General features: G+C 43.2%; 1 protein-coding gene across 23 annotated transcripts in view; it reads right to left on the bottom strand.

The window, feature by feature from the left end:
* Nucleotides 1-8,578: 8,578 nt before the first annotated feature.
* Nucleotides 8,579-19,453, bottom strand: part of ZNF846 (zinc finger protein 846) — a 37,542-nt gene continuing 26,667 nt past the window's right edge. For 20 of the 23 annotated variants that reach the window (NR_172869.1, NR_172870.1, NR_172873.1 and 17 more), the window contains 2 exons: nt 18,019-18,724; nt 8,579-12,400 (listed from right to left, as the gene is read on the bottom strand). Coding sequence is in view for 18 of the 23 variants with exons in the window: in NM_001395836.1 (NP_001382765.1) it covers nt 12,399-12,400; nt 18,019-18,724 (708 nt within the window). In the remaining 5 variants the exon portion in view is untranslated. Of the gene's footprint in view, nt 12,401-15,316; nt 18,725-19,453 lie in introns of those variants that run through there. The other 3 variants (NM_001353799.2, NM_001353798.2, NM_001077624.3) reach the window with 1 other exon arrangement.

Genomic DNA, 19,453 nt, shown 5'->3' on the forward strand with positions numbered 1-19,453 from the left:
GACCCTGATGGATGGGACCACAACATTAAGTCAATAATTAGTCCATCACGAAGGGCCATTTATCACTTTTATTATTTGTTTTGTTTATTTTCTAGAGACAGGGTCTCACTCTGTTTCCCAGGCTAGAGTGAAGTGGCCCAGTGACAGCTACCTGCAGCCTCAACCTCCTGGACTCAAGTGAACCTCCCACCTCAGCCTCCCAAGTAGCTGGGACTACAGGCACACATTACCATGCTCAGCTAATTTATTCTTTTTGTAGAGATGGGGTCTCACTATGATGCTCATCTTCCCACCTTGGCCTCCCAAATCTCTGGGATTATAGGCATAAGCCACCACAGTTCACCCTTGTTTTTAAATCAGTAACTAATCTAGGGATAGAATTCTGTTTACTAGCCTTGATGTTTCTTTAGTACTTACAGTTTCAAGTTACTCATTTCCACCACCTTGGATTTACAGCTGCCTAGAGCAGCCAGAAGTCTTTTTTTCTCCCCTCAAACCTCCCCATTTTAGGCTTTGAGTTGCCTAAAGCCACAGTTCTTTGTGTTTGTTTTGGTTGGTTTGAGACAGATCCTTGTTCTGTCACCCAGGCTGGAATGCAGTGGCACAATCTCAGCTCACTGCAACCTCCATCTCCCAGAAAGCCACAGTTCTTAAATTCCATCTCTGGTTGATAAGAGGAAATGAGGGAGCAGTAAAGGTCCGATGCCTATAGGCAGTAGCCTCAAGACAATTGGTCCTTTTCTTCCCCCCAATTTTTTATTTTACATAAAATCTTTACAATGGCTTGTATTTCTAAGTGGCTAAAAAAAATTTTTTTTTTTTGGCCAGGCACAGTGGCTCATGCCTGTAATCCCAGCACTTTGGGAGGCCAAGGCTGGTGGAGCACTTGAGGTCAGGAACTTGAGACCAGCCTAATCAACATGGTGAAACCCCCTCTCTACTAAATATATAAAAATTATCCAGGCATGGTGGCACATGCCTGTAATCCCACTTACTCGGAAGGCTGAGGCACTAGAATAGCTTGAATTGGGAGGTGGAGGTTGCAGTGAGCCAAGATTGCACCATAGCACTCCAGCCTGTGCAACAAGAGTGAAACTCCATCTCAAAAAATAACTTTTTTCCTCTTATTTTGGATGTTTACTTGACATACTGGTTGCTTGGTCCCCACTGGCTCCTGTTGTAAGCAGTGGACTCCATTTGGTTCCCTTTGGCCCCATGGACAGGCAGTCACCTCCCTCCCTCTCTCTGGTGTCCCCATTGACCTCATTAGGGTCAGGTGACAAAGAACTACATAAGCCAGTGAAGGCACCAACATAGAGATCCCAGACCCTGGCAGTACGTTTGCCTGGAATGGGATATGACTTCCTGGGGAGGGGGCACCCCTCCTACTGAAGGAACCCTGTGGGGTTTTGGCACATCACCACCAAGAGCGAGGGTCTAACAGAGGCCAGTCTTCAAACTCCCATGAGGGGTTTTGCCAAATACTGGGTATATATATGCATGAAGCTGGGGTTGCCCCTTTCCTGTTCCAGAACTTATGACATGAATTGCAATCTTGAACAGCTTAGCCAATTTGGTTCTGACTCATTCATTGGACTAACAGTGAGTATAGTTCTCCCTCTTGCTGTACTAGGGCTGGGTTTTTAGTCTAGGCCAAGTGATACCAGAACAGGAAAAACTGGTATTCTTATTGCCCCTTTAGTGTTACTTGTAATGTCCTCTGAGCTGGCCACACCATGGTCAAGCCAGCATGACATTCACCCGCCCTTGTGATAATGTACTTTGTGATATTCCCCAACCTTGTGAATGTACTTTGTAAAATTCCTCCCCACCCGTGTGACAATACACCCTCCCAGCCCTTGTGAATGTACTTTGTGACATCCTTCCCACCCTTGTGAATGTACTTTGTAACATCCTCCCCGCCCTTAAGAATGTACTTTGTAACAACCATCCCTTGCCTGCAAAACAATTGCTCCTAACTCCACAGCCTATCCCAAACCTATAAGAAGCAATGATAATCCCACCACCCTTCGCTGACTCCTTTCTCAGACTCAGCCCACTTGCAGCCAAGTGAATAAACAGCCTTGTTACTCACACTAAGCCTGCTTAGGCAGTCTCTTATATGGTCGCACATAACATTTGGTCCCAAAAACCCAGGACAAGGGAACTCCTTCAGGAGATGTGTCCCCTGTCCTCAAGCTCCCTGCATGAGGAGATCCACCTATGACCTCGGGGCATCAGACCAACCAGCCCAAGGACCATCTCACCAATTTCAAATAAATAAGTGGTTTTTGGCACTTGGGTCAGCAGTTTTTTCACTCGCTACTTAACCTCTCTCACCTCCCTTCAATCTCTCTTTCAATTTCAGTTTCTCTCCTTTCCTGGTAGAGACAAAAAGGAGACACACTTTATCCGTGCATTCAAAAACTCTGACATTGGTCACAGACTTGGGAAGATAGTCTTCCCTTGGTGTCTGATCACCGTGGGGACGCCTGCCTTGATCATTCACCAACATTCCCTTGGTGGCAGGTCAATTGCAGGGATGGCTGCTTTGGCAGCTCACCCACATTACAGCCTAGGACTCAGTCAGGGATGCCTACTGGAAGACTGGTAGCTGCCCACCTCCATTTCTCCGTGTCTCTACCTTCCTCTTTAAACTTACCTTCTCCACTATGCGCAACCTTCCATCATCCATTCTTACCTCTTCCCCCTTAGCCTGTGTTCTTAAAAACCTAAAACCCCTTTGACTAACACCTGACATAAAAGCTAAATGTCTTATTTTCTTCTGTAATATTGCTTGGCCCCAATACAAGCTCGACAATAGTTCCAAGTGGCCAGAGAATGGCACTTTCAATTTGTCTATCCTACAAGACCTCAGTAATTTTTGTCGAAAATTGGGCAAATGATCTGAGGTGGCTTACGTCCAAGCATTTTTTACATTTTGCTCCCTCCCTAGTTTCTACCACCAATGCAACTCATCCCAGATTTTCCTTCTTTTCTCTCCTGTCTGCTTCTTCGGTCTTCACCCCAAGCTCAGAGTCCTCTGAATCCTCCTTTTCCAGTGACCCCTCTGACCTCTCTCCTCCCCCAGCTGCTCCTCGCCAGGGTGAATCAGGTCCCAATTCTTCCACAGCCTCTGCTCTCCCACCCTATAACCCTTCTATTACCTCCCCTCCTCACACCCAGTCTGGCTTATAGTTTCATTCTGTGACTAGCTCTCCCCCACCTGCCCAACAATTTTCTCTTAGAGAGGTGGCCGGAGCTGAAGGCATAGAGTCAGTACATGTGCCTTTTTTTCTATTAGACCTTTCCCAAATCAGTCAGCATTTAGGCTCTTTCTCATAGGACCCCACTAAATATATACAGGAATTCCAATATCTAACTCAGTCCTACAACTTAACCTGGAGTGACTTAAATGTCATCCTGACCTTTACCCCCTCCCCAGACAAACAAGAAAGAGTTTATTTTCTAGCCCAGTCCTACACAGACACCCACTGGCTTCATGAGCCAGGCCTCCAAGAGGGCACCAGGGCTGTTGCCCGAGAGTATCCCCATTGGCAATACCAGACAGACTCCCCAGGTATAGCTAGGCGAGATTACATGGTCTCCTGCCTAGTCGAGGGGCTGAAAAAGGCAGCATACAGCGCTGTTAATTATGACAACCTAAAGGTAACTACCCAAGGTAAAGTTGAAAACCCAGCCCAGTTCATTGCCCGCTTAGCAGCTACCCTTAGACACTTTACAGCACTAGACCAAGAGGGGCCAGAAGGCCACCTTATCCTTAATATGCATTTTATCACCCAACCTGCTCCTGACATTAGAAAAAATCTCCAAATTTGGATTCTGGCCCTCAAACCCCACAACAGGATTTAATCAATCTCACCTTCAAGGTGTTCAATAACAGAGAAGAACTGGCCAAACAGCAACGTATCTCTGAGTTACAGCTACTTGCCTCCACTGTAAGACAACCCACAACATCTCCAGCATACAAAACCTTCAGAACAACCAAGACACAGCTCCCAGGGGCTCCTTCAAAACCTCCTGGTGGACCTTGCTTCAAATGCCAAAAGCCTGGTCACTGGGCCTCGGAAAGCCCGCAGCCCGGGTTTCCTCCTAAGCCATGCCCTCTCTCTGTGGGCCCCCACTGGAAGTTGGACTGTCCGACTCACATCGCCACCATTCCTAAAGCTCCTGGAGCTCGAACCCAACTTTCCTTGGCAGACTCCTTCCCAGATCTCCTCGACTTAGTGGCTGAAGACTGATGCTGCCCAATCACCTTGGAAGCCCCCAAGACCATCATGGATGCTGAGCTTTGGGTAACTCTTACAGTGGAGGGTAAGTCCATCCCGTTTAATTGATATGGGGGCTACCCACACAACACTACTTTCTTTTCAAGGGCCTGTTTCCCTTGCCCCCGTAACTGTTGTGGTTATTGATGGCCAGGCTTCCAGACCCCTTAAAACTCCCCAACTCTTGTGCCAACTTGGACAACATTCTTTTATGCACTCTTTTTTAGTTATCCCCACCTGCCCAGTTCCCTTATTAGGCTGAGACATTTTAATCAAATTATCTGCTTCCCTGACTATTTCTGGACCTCAGTCACACCTCATTGCTGCCCTTTTGCCCCATTCAAGACCTCTTTTGAATCCTCCTTTCGTGTCTTCCTACCTTAATCCTCAAGTGTGGGATACTTCTACTCCCTCCTTGGCGACTGATCAGGCACCATTTACCATCCCATTAAAACCTAATCACCCTTACCTCACTCAACACCAGTACCCCATCCCACAATAGGCTTTAAGAGGACTAAAGCCTGTTATCACTCACCTGTTACAGCATGGCCTTTTAAAGCCTACAAATTCTCCTTACAACTCCCCTATCATACGTGTCCAGAAACTGGACAAATCTTACAGGTTGGTTCAGGATCTTTGTTTTATTAACCAAATTCATCCTGTAGTGCCAAACACATGTACTCTCCTATACTCAATACCTCCCTCCACAACTTATTATTCCATCCTTGACCTCAAAGATGCCTCTTCACTATTCCTTTGCACCCCTCATCCCAATCTCCTTTCACTTTCACATGGACTGACCGTGACACCCACCAATCTCAGCAACTCACCTGGACTGTACTGCTGCAAGGCTTCAGAGATAACCCCCATTACTTTAGTTAAGCTCTTTCTCATGATCTACTTTCTTTCTGTCCATCTGTTTTTCACCTTATTCAATATATGGATGACCTTCTCCTCTGCAACTCCTCTTACGAATCTTCCCAACAGGATACCCTCCTGCTCCTTCAACATCTATTCTCAAAGGAGTATCACGTATCCCCATCTGAAGCCCAATTTCTTTCCCATCTGTTACCTATCTTGGCATAGTCCTTCATCAAAACACACGTGGTCTCCCTGATAACCATGTCTGGCTAATCTCCGAAACCCCAACCCCTTCTGCAAAGCAACAACTCCTGTCCTTCCTAGGCATGGTTGGATACCTTTGCCTTTGGATACCAGGTTTTGCCATCCTAACTAAACCCCTATATAAACTCACAAAGGGAAACCTGACTGACCCCACAAACCCTAAGTTCTTTCCCCACTCTTCTTTTCATTCCTTAAAGACAGTCCTAGAAACAGGTCCCACATTAGCACTCCCTAATTTGTCCCAATCCTTCTTATATACGGCTGAAATACAAGGCTGTGTGGTTGGAGTTCTTACACAGGAACCAGGCCCACGACCTGTAGCCTTCCTATCCAAACAACTTAACTTCAAAGTTCTAGGCTGGCCCTCATGTCTATGTGTGGTGGCAGCTGCTGTTTCAATACTTCTAGAGGCCCTCAAGATCATAAACCATGCCCCACTTACTCTCTACAGCTCTCATAACTTTCAAAATCTATTTTCCTCCTCACACTTGGCGCATATACTTTCTGCCTCCAGACTCCTCCAACTCTACTTACTATTCATTGAAACTCTCACAGTTACCATTGTTCCTGGCACAGACTTCAACCCAGCTGTTCACCTTATACCTAGCACCAAACCTGAACCTCATGACTGTATCTCTCAATCCATATGGCATCCTCCACATTTCCCCATATTTCCCTCTTTCCTGTTCCTAATCCAGACCACACGTGGTTTATTGATGGTAGTTCTTCAAGGCCAAATCGTCAGTCACCGGCAAGGGCAGGATATGTTGTGGTGTCTTCCACATCGGTCACTGAAGCTACTGCCCTGCACCCTTCCATTACCTCTCAACAAGCCGAACTCATTGCTTTAACCCAAGATCTCACCCTTGTAAAGGGACTATGTGTCAATATCTACACTGATTCCAAGTATGCCTTCCACATCGTACATTACCATGCAGTTATATGGGCAGAAAGAGGTTTTCTCACTACACAAGGGTCCTCCATCATCAATGCTTCCTTAATAAAAATCCTCCTTAAGGCTGCTCTACTGCCCAAGGAAGCCAGTCATTCACTGCAAGGGGCCTCAGAGGTTACCAGATCCCATTGCTCGAGGCAACGCTTATGCTGATAATGCAGCAAAAGCAGCAGCTAGTATTCCCACATCTGTCCCTCATGGCCATTTTTTTTCCTTCTCATCTATCACTTCCACCTATTCTCCCACTGAAACTATTACCTATCAATCCCTTCCTACTCAAGGCAAATGGTTCTTGGATCAAGGAAAATTCCTCCTTCCTGCTTGACAGGCTCATTCTATCTTATCACCCTTTCATAACCTCTTCCATGTGGGTTACAAGCCAATGGCCCATCTCTTAGAACCTCTCATTTCTTTTCCATCATGGAAATCCATCCTCAAGGAAATTACTTCTCGGTGTTCCATCTGCTACTCTACCACCCCTCAGGGATATCTCAGGCCCCCTCCCTTTCCTACACAAAAAGCTCGAGGATTTGCCCCCGACCCAAGACTATCAGATTGACTTTACCCATAGGCCCCAAGTCAAAAAACTAAGATACCTTTTGGTCTGGGTAGATACATTCACTGGATGGATAGAGGCCTTTCCCACAAGGTCTGAGAAGGCCACCACAGTCATTTCTTCCCTCCTGTCAGATATAATTCCTTGGTTTGGCCTTGCCACCTCTATACAGTCCAATAACGGACCAGCCTTCGTTAGTCAGATCACTCAAGCAGTCTCCCAGGCCCTTGGCATCCAGTGGAAGCTTCATGCCCCTACTGTCCTCAATATTTGGGAAAGGTAGAAAGAACTAACAGTCTTATTATTATTATTATTATTATTATTATTATTATTATTATTGTTACATTAGGTTCTAGGGTACATGTGCACAACGTGCAGGTTTGTTACATATGTATACATGTGCCATGTTGGTTTGCTGCACCCGTCAACTCGTCATTTACATTAGGTATGTCTCCTAATGCTATCCCTCCCCCCTCCCCCCAGCAGGCCCCAGTGTGTGATGTTCCCCACCCTGTGTCCATGTGTTCTCATTGTTCAATTCCCACCTATGAGTGAGAACATGTCTTGTTTGGTTTTCTGTCCTTGCGATAGTTTGCTCAGAATGGTGGTTTCCAGCTTCATCCATGTCCCTATAAAGGAGAAGAACTCATCCTTTTTTATGGCTGCATAGTATTCCATGGATCATATGTGCCACATTTTCTTAATCCAGTCTATCACTGATGGACGTTTGGGTTGGTTCCAAGTCTTTGCTATTGTGAATAGTGCTGCAATAAACATACGTGTGCATGTGTCTTTATAGCAGCATGATTTATAATCCTTTGGGTATATGCCCAGTAATGGGATGGCTGGGTCAAATGGTATTTCTAGTTCTAGATCCTTGAGGAATTGCCACACTGTCTTCCACAATGGTTGAACTAGTTTACACTCCCACCAACAGTGTAAAAGCGGTCCTATTTCTCCACATCCCCTCCAGCACCTGTTGTTTCCTGACTTTTTAATGATCACCATTCTAACTGGTGTGAGATGGTATCTCATTGTGGTTTTGATTTGCATTTCTCTGATAGCCAGTGATGATAAGCATTTTTCCATGTGTCTGTTGGCTGCACAAATATCTCCTTTTGAGAAGTGTCTGTTCATATCCTTCACCCACTTTTTGATGGGGTTGTTTGATTTTTTCTTGTAAATTTGTTTAAGTTCTTTGTAGATTCTGGATATTAGCCCTTTGTCAGATGGGTAGATTGTAAAAATTTTCTCCCATTCTGTAGGTTGCCTGTTCACTCTGATGGTAGTTTCGTTTGCTGTGCAGAAGCTCTTTAGTTTAATTAGATTGCATTTGTCAATTTTGGCTTTTGTTGCCATTGCTTTCAGTGTTTTAGTCATGAAGTCCTAGCCCATGCCTATGTCCTGAATGGTATTGCCTAGGTTTTCTTCTAGGGTTTTTATGGTTTTAGGACTAATATTTAAGTCTTTAATCCATCTCGAACTGATTTTTGTATAAGGTGTAAGGAAGGGATCCAGTTTCAGCTTTCTACATATGGCTAGCCAGTTTAACTGGCAACATTTATTAAATAGGGAATCCTTTCCCCATTTCTTGTTTTTGTCAGGTTTGTCAAAGATCAGATGGTTGTAGATGTGTGGTATTATTTCCAAGGGCTCTATTTTGTTCCATTGGTCTATATCTCTGTTTTGGTAGAACTAATGGTCTTTTAAAAACATACCTCACCAAGCTCAGCCTTCAACTTAAAAAAGACTGGACAGTACTTTTACCGTTTGCCCTCCTTAGAATTACAGCTTGTCCTCGAGAAGCTACAGGGTATAGTCTATTTGACTATATGGACATACCTTCTTGCTGGGCCCCCACCTTGTGCCAGACACCAGCCCTCTAGGCGACTATCTTCCAGTCCTCCAGCAGGCTAGACAGGAAATTCACCAGCCTGCTAATCTTCTCTTGCCTACTCCAGATTCCCAGCCATATGAAGACACCCTAGCTGGATGATCAGTTGTTGTTAAGAATCTGATCCCTCAAACTCTACAACCGCGATGGACTGCTTAGTCATCTATAGTACCCCAACTCCCGTCCACCTGCAGGACCCTCCCCATTGGGTTCACCATTCCAGAATAAAGCTGTGTCTGTCAGCCAGCCAGCCTGATCTCTCTTCTTCCTCCTGGAAGTCTCAAGCACTCTCCCCTACTTCCCTTAAACTCACTCGCATTTCTGAAGAACAGTAATAGCCCTTATAAACCTAACACATCCCTTCATTCTATTAGGTCTATTCGTCCTTACCCTACTTTTTGCAACAGGGCTTTATGAAGTCATCCCCACTACTTGGACTGTGCCCCCAAGACTTGTCATCCCTATTATCTTCTGTCTAGTCATACACCTATTCATCATTCTCAACTACTCGTAAATGCCCTGCCCTTGTTTACGCTGCCAGTTTACCAGTTTACACTTTTCCTCCAAGTCACCATAACTGATATCTCCTGGTTTTACTTCAAATAGCCACCCTTAACTCTCTTGCAGTGGATATAATATCTTCAGTGGCAAGATACATTCCAATTCTCCTATCCTGATAAGTCTTTCTTTTTTTTTTTTTTTTTTTTTACTTTTCTACTCACTCTTATCCTTGCCCCTATTCTCCAGTCACTCTCTACCTCTCCCTAGTTACCTCCAGCATAGTATCAACCTCACCCACTCTCTCCTCACTGCCTCCAATCCTTCTCTAGTAAAAAATTGTTGGCTATGCATTTCCCTTTCTTCCTGCTCTTATGCAGCCGTCCCCGCTCTACAGGCTGACTGAGCTACCTCTCCTGTCTCCCTACACCTCTGAACCTTCTTTAATAGCCCTTGTCTTTACCCACCTGAGGAACTTCTTTACTTTCTAGACAGATTTGGTGAGAACTCCCCAGAGATTTCGCATTAAAAAGCGGCCACACTTCTCCGCATCTACTTACGGCACCTTTCTCTTTATGTCAATTCCACTCCCCCCCATATTTGGACCCCTAACCACACAAACAACTATCCCTGTTGCTGCTCCTTTATGCTTCTCCCAAAAACAGCCTACTGGAATCCCTTTAGGAAACCTTCCACCATCCAAATGTTCCTTTACTCTTTATCTCCAGAACCAAGCCACACACACTACCAAACAGATGGGAGCATTCCAACTTCACATTACTGATAAGCTCTCTATCATTACTGACAAACTAAAAAACATTGGCAGTCACTAATGCTTAGGAAGACACCTACCCTGCATCTCACTCCATCTTTGGCTACCCTCGCCCTGCTCATTTGACTCTCCTCCTGACCCCTCCTCTTGCTTGCTTATACCCAGCCCCATGAATAGTAGTGAAAGACTACTCACAGATACTATGTGCTTTCTTATACACCATGAGAACTGAACCTTCCCTCTACGCAGTTGCACCATCAATCCCCATTACAACCTCTAATGGCTGCTGCCTTTGCTGGATCTCTAGGATTTTGGGTGCAGGACCCCTCTTTCACTACACCCTCTCACCTTTTCACTTTACATTTCCAGTTATGCCTGACACAAGCTCTCTTATTTTTCTGTGGTTCTTCCACGTACACCTGCCAACTGGATGGGCACATGTACTCTAGTCTTCCTTACCCCCAAAATCCAGTTTGCAAATGGGAACGAACAACTGCCTGTCCCCCTCATGACACCAACATGACAAAAAAGAGTCATCCCATTAATCCCTTTACTTGTGGGTCTAGGAATTTCTGCCTTCACTATTGCACTTAGAACTGGAATAGCAGCTATCTCAACCTCTGTCACACCATTCTGCAGCCTCTCTAATGACTTCTCTGTTTAGCATTACAGATATATCACAATCTTTATCTGTCCTCCAAGCCCAGGTTGACACTTTAGCTGCAGTTGTCCTCCAGAACTGCCAAGGCCTCGATTTACTCACTGCTGAAAAAGGAGGACTCTGCATATTTCTTAATGAAGAGTGTTTGTTTAACTTTAATCAGTCTGGCCTGGTATATGATGACGTCAAAAAACTCAAAAACAGAGCTCAAAACCTCGCTAGTCAGGCAACTAATTATGCTGGACCCACCTGGCCACTCTCTAACTGGGTATCCTGGCTTCTTCCAATCGTTAGTTCTCTAATACCTGTCTTCCTCCTTCTCTTATTGAGGGCTTGTGTCTTCTGATTAATCTCTCAATTCCTACAAAACTGCATCCAGGCTATCACTAATCACTCTATACAACAAATGCTGCTTTTAACAAACCCACAATATCACCCCTTACCCCAAAATCTTACTTCAGTCTAATCTCTCCCACTTTAGGTTCCCACACCACCGCTAATCCTGCTCAAAGCAGCCCTGAGAAACGTCACCCATCACTCCTCCATACAGCCCCAAAATTTCACCCCAAGTTTTCACTATTCTTATTTTATTTATTATTTTTATTTCTTATTAACATAAAAAAACAGGAATGTAAGGTCCTCTGAGCTGGCCGCACCATGGTCAAACCATTGTGACATCCCCGGCCCTTGTGATAATGTACTTTGTGATATTCCTTGTCCTGTGAATGTACATTGTAACATTCCTCCCCACCCTTGTGAATGTAATTTGCAACACCCTCCCTGCTCTTCTGAATGTACTTTGTAACATTCCTCCCATCCCTTGTGACAATACACCCTCCGCGCCCTTGTGAATGTACTTTGTAACATCCTCCCCGCCCTTGTGAATGCACTTTGTAACATTCCTCCCTGCCTTTGGGACAAGACATCCTCCCCGCCCTTGTGAATGTACTTTGTAACATCCTCCCCACTCTTGAGAATGTACTTCATAACATCCATCCCCTGCCCACAAAAAAAGTCGCTCCTAACTCCACCGCCTATCCCAAACCTATAAGACCAATGATAATCCCACCATCTTCACTGACTCCTTTCTCAAACTCAGCCCACTTGTACCCTAGTGAATAAACAGCCTTGTTGCTCACACTAAGCCTGCTCAGGTGGTCTCTTATATGGATGCATGTAACATTACTGTAAAATGAGATCTTGCGGGGTGCAGTGGCTCATGCCTGTAATCCCAGCACTTCGGAGGCCGAGGTGGGTGGATCACCTCCCAAAGTGCTGGGATTACATGCATGAGTCACCATGACCAGCCAGGTATTTCTTTATAACAACTCAAGAACAGACTAATACACGTGACTATTTCCAGACTATTTTGTACCAATAGTCTAGTTGTCTGTGTACAATGCAACAGCATCTTAATTACTATAGTTTTAATCTTGATATTCATTAGGGCAAGTTCTTCCACCTTTTTTATCAGCTGGGTCTTGATTATCCTTGCCTATTGTTCTTCCATATACCTTTTAGAAACAGTATTTCAAGGGCGGGTGTGGTGGCTCACGTCCATAATCCCAGCACTTTGGGAGGCCAAGGTGGGTGGATCACCTGAAGTCAGGAGTTTGACACCAGCCTGGACAACATGATGAAACTTCGTCTCTACAAAAAAAAAAAATACACAAAATTAGCTGAGCTTGGTGGTGCATGCCTGTGATCCCAGCTACTCGGGAGGCTGAAGCAGGAGAATCACTTGAACCTGGGAGGTGGAGGTTGCAGTGAGTGGAGATTGTTCCACTGCATTCCAGCCTGGGGAACAAAGTGAGACTTCATCCCAAAAAAAAAAAAAAAAAAAAATTCTTATTGCTTCTTTCAGTGATTTCCCTTTTTTTTTTTTCTATTCTCTCATTCTAGAATGCCTTGTAGCTGGATATTGAAGCTTTTTGCTTATCTCATACATTATTTAATTTACATCCTTTCCAGCACTTTTCTTTTTAGGCTGAATTCTGTGAAACATTCCTTGGCTTAGTCTTTGAGATCTTTCTTCTTTTTGAATTTGAGTAGTTACTGCTATGAGTTGCCTTCTTTTCACTACTTTCACTGTATCTGTCCATTCAGGCTGCTATAACAAAATACCATAGACTGGTGGTTAATAAACAACATAAATTTATTTCTCCGAGTTCTGGAGATTAGGTCAAAGCTCAAGGTACAGTCAGATTCAGTGTCAGATGAGGGCCCTTTTCCTGGTTCACAGAGAGCCATCTTCTTGAAGTAACCAAATACAGTAGAAGTGGCATGAAATATCTTTGGGGTGTCTTCCATGAGGGGGGTAATCCCATTCTGCAGAGCCCTCATGACTTCATCATGTCCCAAAATTCCCAGCTCCTAATACAATCACTTTGGGAGTTAAGATGTCAACATACGCAAGTTGAGGAGACAAAATTTATTTATTTATTTATTTATTTATTTATTTATTTATTTATTTATTTTTGACATGGAGTCTCACTCTGTCACCCAGGCTGGAATGCAGTGGTGTGATCTTGGCTCACTGCAAGCTCTGCCTCCCAGGTTCACACCATTCTCCTGCCTCAGCCTCCTGGATAACTGGGACTACAGGCACCCAGCACCACACTGGGCTGATTTTTTTTTTTTTTTTAAGTAGAGACAGGGTTTCACCACCTTAGCCAGGATGGTCTCAATCTCCTGACCTTGTGATCCACCCACCTTGGCCTCCCAAAGTGCTGGGATTACAGGTGTGAGCCACCGTGCCCAGCCTAGGAGACAAAATTTAGACTACAGCAACATCTCATAAATTTTGGTATGCCATGTCTTTGTTTTCATTTGTCTCAAGATGTTTTCTAATTTACCTTGTGAATTCTTGCTTCACCCATTGATAGATCAGGAGTGTGTTGCTTACAATAAAATGTATTTGTGAATTTTCCAGTTTTCCTTGTTTTTCATTTCTTGTTTCATTCTATGTGACTTGAAATGGTACTTTGTGTTTCAGTCTTTTACATTTCATTAAGATTTGTTTTGTGGCCTAACACATGGTTTCTCCTGGAAACTATTCCACATATGCTTGAGAAAAATGTGTTCTCTTCTGTTGTGGGGTGGGTTGTGCCAACTGTTATATAGTACTTGTCCTGTTTCCTTCTTGATATTATCGTGGCTGTTCTACCTATTAAATTGAAAGTGGTATAATGAGGTCTCCAATTGTTATGCAGAATTGTCTATTTTTCCCTTTAATTTTGCCAATATTTACTTCATGTATTTTAAGCTCTGATGTTTGATACATATAATTTTTTTATCTTCTTGATGAATTTTACCTTCTATCAGTATATACTCTCATTCACTCTCTCTTCTATCAGTTTTTTACTTCAAGTTTACTTTGTCTGATATTAATATATCCAGGCAAATTCTCTTTAGGTTACTATTTACATGGAATGATCTTTTTCCATTATTTAACTTTCAACCTTTTTTGTCTTTAGATCTAAAGCGAAGGATGGCCAGGCGTGATGGCTCATGCCTGTAATCCTAGCACTTTGGGAGGCTGAGGTGAGCAGATCACCTGAAGTCAGGAGTTTGAGACAGCCTGGTCAACATGGCAAAACCCTGTCTCTACTAATACTACAAAAATTAGCTGGGCATGGTGGTGGGTGCCTGTAATCCTATCTACTCAGGAGGCTGAGGCAGAGAGAATTTCTGGAAGCCAGGAGGTGAAGGTTGCAGTGAGCCGGGATCTTGCCATTGCACTCCAGCCTGGGCGACAGAGCGAGACTCTGTCTTAAAAAAAAAAAAAAAAAAAAAAAGCAAAGGGCAACATACAGTTGGATTGTGTATTTTAATCCATTTTGCCAAATTATGCCATTAGATTGGAGAAGTTATCCCATTTACCCTTCATATAATTACCAATAAAAAAGACTCATTTTGCCACTTTGTTACTCTTTTTCTGTATGTCTTACAGCTTTTTGGTCCCTCATTTCCTACATTACTGCCTTTTTTGTTGATTTGTTTTTTTAGTGACATCTTTTTTTCGTCTCATTTTGTGTATATTCCATTGATATTTTATATGTAGTTACCATGGGGATTTTTTTTTCTTTTTTTGAGATGGAGTATCACTCTTGTTGCCCAGGCTGGAGTCCAATGGTGCGATTTCGAGTCACTGCAACCTCCACCTCCCAGGTTCAAGCAATCCTCCTGCCTCAGCCTCTCAAGTAGCTGGGACTACAGGCATGCACCACCACACCCAGCTAATTTTTGTATTTTTAGTAGAGACGGGGTTTCACCATGTTAGCCAGGCTGGTTTCAATCTCTTGACCTTGTGATCCACACACCTCAGCCTCCCAAAGTGCTGGAATTAGAAGCATGGCCTGGTGACCACGGGGATTAAATATAACATCCTAACATCCACTGTACAGTCCACTGTCCAGTCCTCACTCCTCCCACATGCTGTTCTTACTAAAATATAGAAAAAATTCTACTAGGGGGAATTTTAAAAGCAATTAAACTTTTCAACCACAGAAAATTTACTGTCCATGACAAGTCGTCATGGACAGTAAGACACATAGAAAGGCAATCTCATTTTCATGTCATTTATTTCAATTTCTCCTCTAGTATGATCTTGTGTACAGTAACAGTAGTATCTGAAAGCTTCCCATAACTCCTCAGATTCATAGTTTATTCTTCCAGTGAGTATTTTCAGAGGCACTTAAGGAATATGTACTGCTAAAAGTATTACCAGGCCGGGCGCGGTGGCTCACGCCTGTAATCCCAGCACTTTGGGAGGCCGAAGCGGGCGGATCACAAGGTCAGGAGATCGAGACCATCCCGGCTAAAACGGTGAAACCCCGTCTCTACTAAAAATACAAAAAATTAGCCGGGCGTAGTGGCGGGCGCCTGTAGTCCCAGCTACTTGGGAGGCTGAGGCAGGAGAATGGCGTGAACCCGGGAGGCGGAGCTTGCAGTGAGCCGAGATCCCGCCACTGCACTCCAGCCTGGGCGACAGAGCGAGACTCCGTCTCAAAAAAAAAAAAAAAAAAAAAAAAAAAAAAAAAAGTATTACCAGATTTTTTTTTTTTTTGAGATGGAGTTTTGCTCTGTCACCCAGGCTGGAGTGTAGTGGCAAAATCTTGGCTCACTGCAACCTCTGTCTCCTGGGTTCACACAATTCTCCTGCCTCAGCCTCCCAAGCAATTGGGATTAAAGGCACCCGCCACCATACTTGGCTAATTTTTGTATTTTTAGTAGAGATGAGGTTTAACCATGTTGGCAGGCTGGTCTCAAACTCCTGACCTCAAATGATCTGCCCACCTCGGCCTCCTAAAGTGCTGGGATTACAAGCATGAGTCACCACGCCCAGCATATTCTCATATTTTCACATTCATATAGCTTGTTTGCAGTGTGGGTTTTCACAAGTATAGTAAGACTTGTAAAATGGATGCAACATTTCCCTCATTCTGTATTATCAAGATTTCTCTCCAGTATGAATTATCATTTATATTAAAGGATGAAATAATACATACGTGTGTGTATGTGTGTGTGCATATATATGTGTGTGTGTGTGTGTGTATATATATATATATATATATATATATATATATATATATAAAGACATTCCCATATTTCTAACATTCATAATGTTTCTGGCCTCTTTGAGATTACCAAATATTAACACATGAGACAGAAGTAAAGATTTCCCACATCTTACCTTCATAGAGTTTCTCTCCAACGCATGTTGACTGACTTAGTAACACTGGAAGAATTCTTAACACATCTTAAATTGATGAGGTTTCTTATATCTGAAACTGTCAGAAATTTCTGAAGGCTGTCCCAGATTTCTTACATATATAGGCTATCTGCCCACTGTGAGTTCTTTGATGTTGAGTTATTAAAAGGCATAAGTGAAGATCTTGTAGCCTTTACATTTGTAGGGTTTTATACCACTGTGAATTCTCATGTAGATATTAAGTCCTGAGCACTAAGTAAATGTTTTATCACATTCCTTACATACAGAGGGTTTTTCTCCAGTGTTGATTATGAAGTACTATGAAGGTTTGTGAAGTATTTTAAGGCTATCTCTCATTCTTACCTTCAATTGGCTTTTACAGTAATTTTTGTTATGAAAAATAAACAATATGCTGGGTGTGGTGGCTCAAGCCTGTAATCCCAGTACTTTGGAAGGCCAAGGCGGGCAGATCATGAGATCGGGAGATCGAGACCATCCTGGCTAACATGGTGAAACCCTGTCTCTACTAAAAATACAAAAAATTAGCTGGGCATGGTGGCACATGCCCGTAGTCCCAGCTACTCGGGAGGCTGAGGTGGGAGAATTCCTTGAACCCAGGAGGCAGAGGTTGCAGTGGGCCAAGGTCATGCCACTGTACTCCAGCCTGGGTGAGAGAGAGAGACTCTGTCTCAAAAAAAAAAAAGAAAAATAAACAATAGTGGAAGAAACAAAGGCTTTACCACATGCCTTAGAACCAGATTTTTCTCCCAAAGGTGAGTTCTTACACTTTATAAGATGTGAAGAATTACTACTCTTGCCTATTCCTTATATCACTGGGACTTGTGTCCATGTTAAATTCATTCCTATTATATAAGATATGGAAATTCAGTGAAGGTTGTTCATATTCTTTACCTTCCTATGATTTTTTTCCAGATGAGTTTAGATGTAAATACTAAGATCTGAGGAACACTTCAGGTTTTTTCACATGCCTTAGTTCTTAGATGTTTAGCAAGTGCTGAAGATTGAGTGAAGTTTTTCCCACATTTCTTACATTCATATGGTTTTGCTCCAGTGTGAGTTCGTGTGTGAACGTTAAGGTATGTGGAATACCTGAAGGCTTTCCCACATTCTTTACATGCATAAGGCTTTTCTCCTGTGTGCGTTCGCATGTGCATATTAAGATTTGTGGAACGAGCAAATGCTTTACCGCATTCCTTACATTCACAGGCCTTTTCTCCAGTGTGAGTTCTTAAATGGGTACTAAGGCCCGAGGATTGAGTGAAAGCTTTCCCACATTCTTTGCATTCATATGGCTTCTCTCCAGTGTGAATCCTTACATGTTGACTAAGCATTGAGGAATTATTAAAGGCTTTCCCACATTCTTTACATTCATAGGGCTTTTCTCCAGTATGTGTTCTCATGTGTAAAACAAGTCCTGAGGAACGAGTAAAAGCTTTCCCACATGCCTTACATAAATACAGCTTCTCTCCACTGTGAATCCTTACATGTTTTGTAAGGTATGAGGAATGAATAAAAGCTTTTCCACACTCCTTACATTCATATGGCTTTTCTCCAGTGTGAATTCGCATGTGTAAAATAAGTCCTGTGGATCTAGTGAAGGCTTTTCCACATTCCATACATACATAGGGCTTCTTTCCACTGTGGATTCTTGTATGATCAGTAAGGTATGAAGAATGGGTGAAGGCTTTCCCACACTCTTTACATTTATATGGTTTTTCTCCACTGTGAGTTCTGATGTGTAATTTAAGTCCTGTGGATTGAGTGAAAGCTTTACCACATTCTTTACAGACATAGGGCTTCTCTCCACTGTGAATTCTTCCATGTCCTATAAGGTGTGAGGAATTACTGAAGGCTTTCCCACATTCCTTACATACATAGTGTTTGTCTCCATTGTGAGATCTTATATGTAACTTAAGGGATGACTGATTAAGAAAAGTTCTCCAACAGTCTTTGCATTCACACAATTTCTCTTGTGTGTGAGTTTTATTCTGCCTAGTAAGATTTGGAAACTGGTTGAAGGCTTTTTCATGTTTAACACACTTAGGCATTTTCCCCTCAGCATGACTTTTCTTGTAAAAACTATGAGGAAAGTTCTTTCTTAAGGCTTTTCCACTCTGATTATCCTCAGAAGTTTTCTCTCCAATGTGAGTTATCATGTGAGTCATAAGAAATGGGTGTTCATTGAAGACTTTTCCAGAATGGTTAGAGTCATACAGTTTCTCTGCAGTATTGCTTCTCTCCTGTTGAGATATAAAAGATGAATAAAGAATTTCTCACATTCAGTATGGTAACAGAATTTCTCCCCAATCACAACATATATGCATTGGAAATATATTTAAACATTTTAACATATCCATTATATGTACAGAGTTCCAGCCCCATTTTTGAGTTAAGTTGAGTAATAGGACAATGAGGCCACCAGCCTGCCTATATTCTCTGCATTCACAGAGCTTCTTAGACAATCTGTCTGATATTTATTTATTTATTTATTTAAGAAAGATTCTCACTCTGTCACCCAGGCTGAAGTGCAGTGGCACGATCTTGACTCACAGCAATCTCTGCCTCCCAGTTCAAGGGATTCTCAGGCCTCAGCCTCCCAAGTAGCTAGGATTACAGGCATGTGCCACTATGCCCAGCTAATTTTTGTATTTTTAGTAAACACAGATTTTTGCCATGTTGACCAGGCTAGTCTCCAACTCCTGGCCTCAAGTGATCTGCCCGCTTTGGCCTCCCAAAGTGCTGGGATTACAGGCATTAGCCACAATACATCTGAGAATTATTTAGACTAAATTATGGGCTGGGCACAGTGGCTCATGACTGTAATCCCAGCACTTTGGGAGGCCAAGGCAGGTGGATTGCTTTGAGCTCAGGAGTTTGAGACCAGCCTGGACAAAATGGTGAAACCCCATCTCTACAAAAAAAAAAATAATCAGCCAGGCATGGTGGCTCATGCCTGTAGTCTCAGCTAT

The sequence above is a fragment of the Homo sapiens genome, chromosome 19 (assembly GCF_000001405.40).
Source record: "Homo sapiens chromosome 19, GRCh38.p14 Primary Assembly".
NCBI lineage: Eukaryota > Metazoa > Chordata > Mammalia > Primates > Hominidae > Homo > Homo sapiens.